The 12,781-nt window shown below is 39.8% G+C and overlaps 1 protein-coding gene across 1 annotated transcript in view; it reads left to right on the forward strand.

The window, feature by feature from the left end:
- SPEN (spen family transcriptional repressor) overlaps positions 1 to 12,781 on the forward strand; it is a 92,750-nt gene that overhangs the window by 65,657 nt on the left and 14,312 nt on the right. Inside the window, exons 6-10 of the mRNA NM_015001.3 lie at positions 2,765 to 2,916; positions 5,563 to 5,688; positions 6,041 to 6,154; positions 7,507 to 7,620; positions 8,886 to 8,986. Of these exons, the coding sequence (NP_055816.2) occupies positions 2,765 to 2,916; positions 5,563 to 5,688; positions 6,041 to 6,154; positions 7,507 to 7,620; positions 8,886 to 8,986 (607 nt within the window). The remainder of the gene's footprint in view (positions 1 to 2,764; positions 2,917 to 5,562; positions 5,689 to 6,040; positions 6,155 to 7,506; positions 7,621 to 8,885; positions 8,987 to 12,781) is intronic.

The following is a 12,781-nucleotide window of genomic DNA, read 5'->3' on the forward strand; positions in this document are numbered from 1 at the left end:
TAAGTGGACTACACGTGGAAAACTTTTTTTTTTGCTAACTGAATTTCCGATCTTGAAAATTTACTGCTGAGCGTGGTGGCTCACACCTTGATTGATTGATTGATTGATTGGAGACAGGGTCTCACTCTGTTGCCACCCAGGCTAGAGTGTAGTGTCATAATCATGGCTCACCAAAACCTCGACCTCCTGGGCTCAAGCGATCCTCCTGCCTTGGCCTCCCAAAGTGCTAGGATTATAGGCATGAGCCACCATGCCTGACCAAGCTCATGCCTGTAAACAGTTTGGGAGGCTGAGGCAGGAGGATCGCTTGAGCCCAGGAGTTTGAGATGTGCCTGGGCAACAAAGGGAGACCCCATCTCTACAAAAAATAAAAAATCAGCCAGGTAGCCAGGCTGAGGTGGGAGGATTGCTTAAGCCCAGGAGTTTGAGGCTGCAGTAAGCTATGATCCCACCACTGCACTCCAGCCTGGGCAACAGAGCAAGACCCTGTCTCCAAGGGGGAGAAAAAAAGAAAGAAAGAAAATGCACCAGGCAGGCCATTTGGTGGGAATGAAGCCGTTACAGATTTTAATAGTTGCAAATCATGCTTTCTTCTTGTGTTTCTGCCTTTCGGAGCACAAACCTCAATATTCTATCTGAATTTTTTGAAATATTATTAAATGTCTGTGCACATTTAAATTAAGACCAAATTGAGCTTAAAATGAGATATGTTCCTTTGAGATATGCAGAATATATGGAGACAGCTATTATGAGTCCTGGGTAGTTTCTGAGTCCACCTGAGTTTCATGTGAAAGTACATCATAGTCTGATTGATCGAAAGGGGTAACATTAGTTGAGCTACCATTGGAGCCATCAGTCTGGACTCAGAAGTGAGATGTATTCTGACTTAACTCAAGGTCCCTGAAATTGAGTTTTTAAAAATACCAGTGTTGTTGACATTATCAGTAATGTTCAATGGCTGGCTCTAAATGCTTCATTTCAGTAAAGTTGATTAAATATTAATTTTTTGGATGGCTTTGTTTTACATTAAGAAAAAAGAACACACAGTAGTTTCCTATAATTGTTATCAACAAAACCTTGAGCGTTCCTGCCCTAGACCAAGTTTATAAATGGAGCTTCAGAGAAAGGCTATGATAAATTAGAAATTAAGCCATTGCTTTTGACCATAAAAAATAGAGGCTGGACGTCGTGGCTCACACCTGTAATCTCAGCACTTTGGGAGGTTGAGGCGGGCGGATCACCTGAGGTCAGGAGTTCGAGAGTAGCCTGCCCAACATGGCGAAACCCCGTCTCTACTAAAAATACAAAAATTTGGCCAGGCATGATGGCGGGCACCTGTAATCCCAGCCACTTGGGAGGCTGAGGCAGGAGAATTGCTTGAACCCAGGAGGCAGAGGTTGCAGTGAGCCGAGATTGCTCCGCTGCACTCCAGCCTGGGTGACAAGAGTGAAACTCCATCTCAAAGAAAAAAAAGAAGAAGAAGAAGCCGTAACAATCATTTCTGTTTGTCACTGGGGACCATGCAATATCAAAAGATAATTTAAAACATATTGCTTTAATCTGTTTTCATAGTTACTCTTATATCTAAAATTTCCGTATTTAGACAGTTGATTTATTGTGTTAGTATGAGAGGGGCGAAATGCTAAATATCTTATAAAATGTTGAAAAGTAAATGAAATTAAACAATGAAGGTGGACTATTTTCAGCTGAGTTTTTATGTCTATTTCAGAGTATAGTTTTATACGCCAAATTGAGAGCCTGCTACGTAATTTTGGAAACTAGGATTAGGCTCAAATAATTAATTACCATTTTTGCTGGGGTTTAAAATCTATTTCTGTGTCAGTGATTATTTTTAAAACAAATCAGGCCAAGTGCAGTGGCTCACGCCTGTCATCCCAGCACTTTGGGAGGCTGAGGCAGGAGGATTGCTTGAGCCCAGAGACCAGCCTGGGCAACAGGCTGGGGGGGTGGAAAAACTAGCTAGGCATGGTGGCATGCACTGGTGGTCCCAGCTACTTAGGAGGCTGAGGTTGGAGGATTGCTTGAGCCTGGGAGGTTGAGGCTCCAGTGAGCCATGATCCTGCCAGTACACTCCAGTCTGGGTGGCAGAGCGAGACTCTGTCCCAAAAACAACAGATCACCTTAGCAAAGATATCTATCTATTTTATTTTTTCTATTTTATTTTTGAGACAGGTTCTCTCACTGCCATCACCCAGCCTGGAGTGCAGTGGCGTGATCACAGTTCACTGCAGCCTCAACTTCCCATTCTCATGCTATTCTCCCACCTCCGCTTCCCAAATAGCTGAGAATACAGGCGTGCGCCACCATACTTGGCTAATTTTTTGTATTTTTTTTGGTAGAGATGGGGTTTCAACATGTTGCCCAGGCTAGTCTCAAACTCTGGGGCTCCAGCGATCCTCCCACCTTGACATCTTAAAGTGCTGGAATTACAGGCATGAGCCACCCTTCCCAGCTAATTTAGCAGATTTAAATCAGTTTATTTTTAATTTTAAAGGTTAAACAAAGTGTTACTTTAGCCTTAATTTTTTTTTGAAACGTTTATTTAGCCTTTGTATTCCTTTTTTGCTTTAGAGTTAATAAGGGGTGGCTATTTCTGAAGGTGTTTATGATATTTCAGTTTATGTGAGTATTCAAGCCCATTATTTCAGACATTTTGTTTTTTAAATGTAGATTTTTCCATGATATATAAATATGCATTAAAATACTGTCTTCTCTTTTTACTCGGCCCCCATTCCACTTACAGAAACAGAAAGTGAAAATGAATTTCGCCCCTTGGATGAAAGGATAGATGAATTTCACCCCAAAGCAACAAGAACTCTCTTTATTGGCAACCTTGAAAAAACCACTACTTACCATGACCTTCGCAACATCTTCCAGCGCTTTGGAGAAATTGTGGTATGTTGCTTTTACTATGTAAACAATTTTAGGTCTTTGTCATAACACATAAAGCATAGTACAGATTATATTTGGAAAGGTGATATTTAATGGTGTAATGAATGAACATTGTTGTGTGCTTTTAGCTCTTGCTAAAAGATAATCCAGAGAATCCCATTGGGTATGGTTCTATATACGTGTGTAAAAATGTAATATATGTCCTTTGTTTACACATATATATTTTCTTACCTCTTTTTTTTTTTTTTTTTTGAGACAGAGTATCACTCTGTCTCCGAGCCTGGAGTGCAGTGTCATGATCACGACTCACTGCAGCCTCAACCTCCTGGGCTCAAGTGATCCTCCCATCTCTCAGTCTCCTGAGTAGCTGGGACTGCAGACATGTCCCACCACGCCCAGCTAACTCTTGTGTTTTTTGTAGAGGTGGTGTTTTGCCATGTTGCCCAGGCTGGCTCTTACCCATTTTTATCTTTCTTTGTTCATTGGGTTCTGTTTTAATGCCATCTCTAGTCCTGTGGATTGAAAGGAAAATCTGGAAGAGAAAAATGTTTGTAAAAATGAAGCAGCAGGCTGAGCATGGTGGCTCACACCTATAATCTCAGCACTTTGGGAGGGTGAGGTGGGCAGATCACTTTGAGCTCAGAAGTTTAAGCCCAGCCTGGGCAACATGGTGAAACCCTGTCTCTATAAAAATACAAAAATTAGCTGGGCGTTGGTGGCTTGCTCCAGTAGTCCCAGCTACTCAGGCGGCTGAGGCTGGAGAACCACTTGAGCCCAGGAAGCAGAGGCTGCGGTGAGCCGAGATCACGCCACTGTACTCCAGCGTGGGTGACAGAGTGAGACCCTGTCTCCAAAAATAGAAGCAGCAAATTAGTGTATGATTGTTTTGTGATCACAGTGCACATCAGAAATACCTTGGGGATTACTAGAATATGGATGTCGTCTGCTAGCAGTTTAATTCTATTAGGAAGTCTTAATTTGAATCACTTTTTATATTATGCAAGTCATTGTTAGATTAAGGGGTACAAGAAGTTTTCTGTTCCTTTATGACTTAAAATTAGAGTCAGTTTAAAAATGAAAATATTTTGGTCACAGCTTTGTAATCTTGGGATATACTATTATTATTTTTTTAGACAGAGTTTCACTCTTGTCACCCAGGCTGGAGTGCAGTGGTGCGATCTTGGCTCACTGCAGCCTCCGCCTCCTGGGTTCAAGCGATTCTCCTGCCTCAGTCTCCTGAGTAGCTGGGATTACAGGCGCCCGCCACCATGCCCAGCTAATTTTGTATTTTTTAGTAGAGGCGGGGTTTCACCGTGTTGGCCAGGCTGGTCTTAAACTCCTGACCTCAGGTGATCTACCTGCCGTGGCCTCCTAAAGTGGTGGGATTACATGTGTGAGCCACCATGCCCAGGCTGGGAGATAACATTTTGTAAGATATCAGCCTTTCTCATCTCCTCAAAATCTTTCATAGAATCGTAACTTCTGTAGAAATCTGCACATGCCTTCTTTCTTGGTTCAGCCACAGCAAACTTATAGAGAACCACAACCCCCAATTAATGCTCCAGCAATATGATATTACAGATTCTTGGCCAGAAAGTCACACATCTGAGGTTTCATCAAAGCACTGGAAGCCCTGGTAGTTAGTTATTGTCCTTGATAGGTATGACAGCCCCACCCCAATGTCCTTCCTTGCTGATGGAGAAATGGATGACCTCATTTTCAATTATTTTGATTTGTCAAATTATTTTGGTTTTGTGGGAGTAGCATATACTCTAATTGCAGTTCTACTGCCTACCTAGATGGGTGGTATGGAATTCAGTAACCTATCTGGGCTCCAGCTTCTTTTGTCTTTAGACAGTTATCTGTTATTTATTTATTTATTTATTGATCTTTTAATTTTAAAGGTTAAAGAACAAAGATTTATTAATCTTCTCAGATATCATATTTTATTTTATTTATTTATTTTTAAGACGGAGTTTCACTTTTGTCACCTGCGCAATGGCGCGATCTTGGCTTACCGCAACCTCTGCCTCCCGGGTTCAAGCGATTCTCTTGCCTCAGCCTTCAGAATAACTAGGATTACAGGCATGTGCCGCCATGCCTGGCTAATTTTTGTATTTTTAGTAGAGACAGGTTTTCACCGTGTTGGCCAGGCTGGTGTCGAACTCCTGACCTCAAGTGATCCGCCCGCCTCCACCTCCCAAAGTGCTAGGATTACAGGCGTGAGCCACGGTGCGCAGCCAGATATCATATTTTAAATGGCCTGGCCCCTAATAACGATTTTAGATATTGCAGAAGGGAATTATTTCTTAGGATTTCATTAAATAGCCTGCCTTTTCTTTATTATCGTTAAGTTTCTCTTAATGCTGTTAGTATGGATTTTAAATTTTGAATTTTGAATTGCAATGCTGTTGCTCCTCTGCAGAGAGCTTCACATGAGAAGGATTTCATGGTTTGTGACAATAAATGCTATATGTTTTATAGCAAACTAGTAACTTACCATTGTATTAAGGTGTACAGTTTTTTTAACTAAGTAAATGATGATTGAGAACATGACTTTTTTGAGAAATAAATACCCTATATGGACTTGGTTCATTCTAATTTATTTTCTTGGGCATATTGCTAAGTTGTATTCATTGGTTTTTTCAGGATATTGACATTAAGAAAGTAAATGGAGTTCCTCAGTATGCGTTTCTGCAATACTGTGATATTGCTAGCGTTTGTAAAGCTATTAAGAAGATGGATGGGGAATATCTTGGAAATAATCGCCTCAAGGTAAATGAATTTGCATAAATTATTGTGCTGTTATGATTTGCTTTGTTTTTTAAGACTTGAAGGGTTTTTTTTTTGCATATGCCTTATTATTTAAGATCCTACTAAGACAGATAACCATAAAAGTGATATACTTCTTTGCATTCCTATCCTATTATATACTGTAATCTGATTAATATTCGATTAGCCAGGCAGGATTTTTTTTGTATATTCCTATTTAATTTTAACCAGATGTTTCCCACTTGAGATGTTGATTTGATAAGATTACTATAGAAAACCAGTTTTCTGAGAATTCTGTTGTAGTTGAATAGTAATTGTGAACTTTACTAATAGAAATTTTGCCTTTTATATTCAGCTGGGTTTTGGAAAGAGCATGCCTACAAACTGCGTGTGGCTAGATGGGCTTTCTTCGAATGTGTCAGATCAGTATTTAACACGACATTTCTGCCGATATGGGCCTGTGGTAAAGGTAGGCGGGAGGTTTTGGTATGTGGTTCAGACTTCTGACTCACTCGTCTTGGTATTCTCTCCTTTCAGTCTCAGTTGGCTAGCATTGCCTATTTCTTTAATAACGAGCACATTAAAATTATGTTTGCTAAGATTTGGTCAATAAGGGCATTTGCATCTGTTGCCTTAAGTTATGAGTATTTTGAAGAAACTATTTTGAACTAGCCAAGGTGATTAATTTTGAAACTATTCTCATAGTATAAATAGAATGAAATAGAAATGTTGCTTAGGGATTTTTATAATTTTATCTTACATTAAAATTAGATAGTCTGACTATATAGTTATTCACATTTACACTAAATATGTAATTAGACTTTTTTAAATGAGGGGAAGTTCACACAACAGAATATTCATCTAACCAATGATTTTTATGTAATACATCCATAAGCAACAGGAAAAGGGTCTCCAGACCCAATTCAGTGTGTGAAGGTAAAGCTTTGGTTCCTTAAAACTATGTTTACTCTGTGGTAGGTATATTGTATACCCTTGACAATGCTTTTTTTTTTTTAAATTTATTTATTTATTTTTAATTGAGACAGAGTCTCACTCTGTCACCCAGGCTGGAGTGCAGCGGCGGGATCTCAGCTCACTGCAACCTCCGCCTCCCAGGTTCAAGCGATTCTCTAGCCTCAGCCTCTTGAATAGCTGGGATTACAGGTGTGTGCCACCACGCCTGGCTAGTTTTGTATTTTTAGTACAGATGGGGTTTTGCCATGTTGGCCAGGCTGGTCTCAAACTCCTGACCTCAAGTGATCCACCTGCCTCGGCCTCCTAAAGTGCTGAGATTACAGGCACTGCGCCTGGCAGACAATACTTTAAATGTAGCTTTTGTTGTTTAGAGAAATACACATCTTAAAGATTGCCTGTATAAAAAAATCCACAGCCTTAAGACAGTTATGCTACTTGTAGCCAAAGTTCACAGAAATTCTTTGTTGTTCTTAATTTTTCCTTCCTTTCAAGGGTGTTTTTTGCTGTTGTTGGTTTTGCTTTTTTGTTTTGAGCCAAAACAAGACGAATACTTTACTGAAATACAATATAGTGGTCAGTAAACATGGAAAACAAAGTAAAATACAGAAGAACAAAATAAAGGCATAATATCTCAAGCCATAATGTCTATGATTCTAAACAGTCCCTGCACATTTTCATTTTATTGTGTTCACTACAGTGTGCATCACACTTTTTTTTTTAATAGAATAAAATATATAAAAATATATTTTTTCTCATCCGTGTCCTTGTGGCTTAGGATTTTGTTGGGACTGACACTAAGTCCAGTGGATGAGGCTCTTACTTGTTTTTTGTTTGTTTGTTTTACAGGTGGTGTTTGACCGCTTAAAAGGCATGGCCCTGGTTCTCTACAATGAAATTGAATATGCACAAGCAGCTGTAAAAGAGACCAAAGGGAGGAAAATCGGTGGGAATAAAATTAAGGTGTGCAGAATGACTTTAAACAGAAGCAAAACAAAGTCCTATTCAAATCTCACCCTCTTGGGCTGGGCGTGGTGGCTCACGCCTGTAATCCCAGCACTTTGGGAGGCCAAGGCAGGTGGATCACCTGAGGTCAGGAGTTCGAGACCAGCCTGATGAACATGGTGAAACCACGTCTCTACTAAAAATACAAGAAAAATTAGCCGGGCTTGGTGGCGCGTGCCTGTTAATCCCAGCTACTTGGGAGGCTGAGGCAGGAGAATTGCTTGAACCCAGGAGGCGGAGGTTGCAGTGTGCTGAGATCATGCCGTTGCACTCCAGCCTGGGTGACAGAGTAAGACTCCATCTCCAAAAAAAAGAAATCACCCCGTTAATAACTAGCATTTTGTAGGCTGCCAGCCAGGGGAGTGGTTTACAAGACACGTATGCTGTATCATTAGTGTTTAAGGGGAATATTACAATTTTATGCTCAGCTACTTGTGGGCACAGCATCTTTAAACCATTAGCCACAGATCCTTCCCTAAAAATCTTCTCATTCAAAGAAGTGTGCTTCTCAGTGTTCGGGTGCTGATGCTCACACAGACACTCTCATCGCAGGCTTGACCACAGTTATGGGTATCTGACACCCAGGGCCTCATAGTATCAGTCCAGCATCCTGAATGATATGTCTTTCTTTCCTTTCCTACTCTCCTGAAGAGTGGGTAGCCACTTAAAGCATAACTTTATGTCCAGTGTATGTTTTTAAAAACTTGTATTCATGGTAGTTTGAAGGAATTTATGCACTTAACTATGAAATAACTATGATTGTTAGGTTGAAAAAAGTATTTTAAAAATAAGATGATAAGCTATTTGATAGCTGATGAGCATCATATGCTTTAGTAACTTTGAGGCCCAGCTGTGAATAAAGTTTAAAATGTTCATCCATATTTTGTTTTATATTCTAACTGTAGTTTTGGCAACAGAGATTGCTGGATTTAGTTGATCTGATTACTTAATTGCCATTTCAGTTTTCCATTTTGCTTTTTTCACTCCTTCACAATTGGGTTTGAAACTTTATAAATTTCATTCTTTTATCACGGTTTATACAGAATTTGAGAGATTTCAGGTTAATATAGTTTCAGTGATGAGGACTGTTTTACTTGAGATACATTGCTGTTTCCTGAAATTTTCTCAGAAGGGCTATGTTGTGAAGAATTTACAAATCTGATAACATTTTTCCATCATTAAAATTTGAAACTTGCATCAAACACCTCTTTTTTTTTTTAAAGGTGGATTTTGCAAATCGGGAAAGTCAGCTGGCTTTTTATCACTGCATGGAGAAATCTGGTCAAGACATCAGAGACTTTTATGAAATGTTAGCCGAAAGAAGGTATGTATTTTAAACTTACCAGTGTAGCTTGAGTTTTAATAGTTTTAATACAGAAACTTAAGATGGCATTAAATTTTATTTTTCACTCTTTACCCCTACTTTCATCTTCTAGAATAGAGAATGCTTCTCTTTTATCACTTCATATGGAAACACAGGTTTATTTTTTTGAATCTAGTTTCCAGGTAATTCCTATGGGTTTGGAGCAACCTGTCTGGATTTCTCACTGAATGCTCCTAGAACTTGAAAGAGTTACTGTTTTGCCAGGTGATAACTTTATGTACTTTTTTTTTTGAGACAGGGTCTCACTCTGTCACCCAGACTGGAGTGCAGTGGCATGATCATGGCTCACTGCAGTCTCTGCCTTATAGGCTCAAGTGATCCTCACACATCATCTTCTTGATTAGCTGGGACTACAGACACTTGCCACCACGCTGGAGTAATTTTTGTAAAGATGGGTTTTCTCCATGTTGTCTAGGCTGGTCTTGAACTCCTGGGCTCAAGCATTCTGCCCGCTTTGGCCTCCCAAAGCGCTGGGATTACAGGTGTGAGCCACCACACCTGGTCTGCTTTATGTACCATTAATCATAAATACAAATCATCTTGCTTACAGTTACTTCTTAAAGTAAATGTATTAATATATGTTAGAGTGCATTATAAACTTTTAAATGGCTACATATTTAGTAATGACAACAACCAGGTTGTATGTGCTCATACATTTAACTTAAAAAATAAATAAATAAATAAAAACTTCCAAAAGAATATCAAGAGCTTTATTTTAAAGTTGAATCTCTTAAATAGTCAAAGTGAATCAATAAGCCAAAGCATATGTAAACTGGCAACTTTGGCAATGTGCAGGGCAAACCTGATTTCCTCTTGTTAATACTTTCAGTCATGGTTATGTAGTATTTAATATTTTTTCTGCTGAACAGACCGAAATATAGTAAAACATCTTAAGATAATGCCACCAGATTCTTCAATAGCTGATTACTTTTGAAAATGGAAATTTGGTCCATATTATCAAGCTGTTTTTCCAGACATACCTCTGATTAAGTTTCCTGGAATGTTCCCACTAGGTCTCCACCCCTATATGTGTTAGACAAAAGGTTTGTGTGAAAAACGCCTTTAGACACTTGAGTTCAAAGTATGAAAAGGGCTCCATGGCAAGATGAGCCAAGTCAGGGTTGTGCTGCCACAAGCCCTGTTGAATGCATTCCCTTTCTACTGCCTCTTCTTGCCAATTCATTTTTGTTTAAATGATAGCAAGTATTAATATATATTAATTTCTTAGTGGAATATTGTACAACAGTCGTTGAATACTTTGTGCTTTTTTTTTTTTTTGAGATGAAGTCTTGCTCTGTGGTCTAGGCTAGAGTGCAGTGATGCGATATTGGCTTACTGCAACCTCTGCCTTGCTGGTTCAAGCGATTCTCCTGCCTCAGCCTCCCGAGTAGCTGGGACTACAGGCGCATGCCACCATGCCCGGCTAATTTTTGTATTTTTAGTAGAGACGGGGTTTCACCATATTGGTCAGGCTGGTCTTGAACTCCTGACCTCGTGATCCGCCCGCCTTGGCCTCTCAAAGTGCTGGGATTACAGGCGTGAGCCACCGCACCCGGCCTACCTGGTGTTTTTAAATGAAAAATGCTCCCTACGGCCAAATTCTCAAAAGCTCAAACTTGTCAGGTTTTGATGGTTTCTCACCAGATCAGAATCCAAATCACAAAGCTTCAAAGATCAATACTCCTTTAGCTAGAAAGTCAGGCTCGATAGACTGTTTTCTCAGTTGTGTGAGTGTAAGAGAGTGAAAGTGAGCGTAAAATTATGTGGCCACATGCAGGAGAATGTGTGTGTCTCATGTCAAGAGAGAAAAAAATTCTCTATCCTGGCTTCCCAAGTAGCAGTTTGAAGTCATTGTTAATACAGTAAATGCTTACAAGGAATTCTTATCTATATGTGAGTGGAAAGTGTCCCGGAGGCCTACTTGCACCTAAAACATACAAAATCCATTAAAATCCTCTGTGTACATTAAATATTTTAAAACAGCAGTTTTGTGTGAGGGTTGAATAATGTAATGTGGGTGTTACTTTTTGTATATTACTACTTAAAATCTATTTTTTTTTTGTTTTTTGAGACAGAGTTTCCCTTTCGTTGCCCAGGCTGGAGTGCAATGGTGCAATCTTGGCTTACCGCAACCTCTGCCTCCTGGGTTCAAGCGATTCTCCTGCCTCGGGCTCCAGAGTAGCTGGAATTACAGGCACGCACCACCAGGCCTGGCTAATTTTGCATTTTTAGTGGAGACAGGGTTTCTCCATGTTGGTCAGGCTGGTCTCAAATTCCTGACCTCAGGTGATCCGCCTGCCTCGGCCTCCCAAAGTGCTGGGATTACAGATGTGAGCCACCACGCTTGGCCAAAAGTCATTGTTTGTTTTAGTGATGAACTAACTGGCTTTGGGTTTGTTCTGTGTTTTTTCTCATGGTTATTTATCCCTCTCAAATGGCAGTTATCTCCTCATGAGGACGCAGGAGGGTGTGGGACTTCACTGTGACCCAGGTTTGCCCCATGTGGTTTCAGTTGGCAGTGCTTATGGAATGCATTCCTTGCAGTAGACCTTGAGGATCTTTGCCTCTTCCATAGAATGGAAGTTATCTCACTGAATAGTTGATGCATGAATGAAAAAAAATGCTTTAATGCTAATGATAAGCTCAGGAATGCAAATGACAACTCTATTTGCACAGGGCTTTCCCATTTTCCAATAGTATTTCATTTGATCCCTCTAATACTCTGTCAGGTAACCCTTTTTATGGAAGGAACTTTTGCTAATAAGATCACAGGCCACTAAGGGGCTGGGCTGGGGATAAACCTAGGGTTCCTACCTGCTAGTGCATTGAGCTTACCCTTTACCGGAGTGGTTCTCGAGATGAATTTACAGGGTCACATTGTGATTCAGATGACATCTACTTATGGCACTTTGGATACTCTGTGGTTTTGTGAACAGAGTTCTCTCCGAACCTGACTTTCTGCAGTTCCTCAGAGTCCCCGTACATGGTCCAAGTGCCAGTTGTGTTGTCCCTGCTTAAATTGTTGAATTCTTTGAGGGCAGAACTGCTTATTTCTTTTGTTGTCATGGGGCCCAGCAAAATAAGTATTTGTTAAGCTGAACAGTGCTCCAGCATGAATGCTTATACATATATTTCTGCCTTCCAAAACTTTTTTTAATATTACTACTTAATAAATTTTTATTAAATTTTTTTTTTTTTTTGTAGAGATGGGGTCTTGCTGTGTTGATCCTGCCAGTCTTGAACTCCTGGCCTCAAGCAGGCCTCCCAAAGTGCTAGGATTACAAGCCTAAGCTACCATGCCCAGCTCGTATTTTTAGATATAGTTTTAGTTTGCTTAATTAAAAAGATACCTTGATACTGTGTTTTTAAATATGACTCAAGCCTACCATTAATATGGGCAGTAAACTAATGACCATTCTAGGTGTCTTACTCACTTTATAATATTAGAAGGTATATAATGTGTTCACCTTCATGTGGAAAATACATCCTCAAAGTATGTATTTATGGTGGTAATGAGTTAAATTAGCCTAATTCCATGCCTAGTAACAGTTATTTATGAGCTGCCTCGTCACTATTTAGACAAGGAATCTGATTTCCATGGAGCTATGGAAGGATCATCTTGAATCCAATTAAACCAAATATCATAGATACACAATAAAATATTTTCTTTGAACTGAGGAAGTTCAATATAAGTACATATAATAGGCCAGGCACAGTGGCTCATGCCTGTAATCC

Source organism: Homo sapiens, chromosome 1 (genome assembly GCF_000001405.40).
Source record: "Homo sapiens chromosome 1, GRCh38.p14 Primary Assembly".
In the NCBI taxonomy this organism is placed as follows: domain Eukaryota; kingdom Metazoa; phylum Chordata; class Mammalia; order Primates; family Hominidae; genus Homo; species Homo sapiens.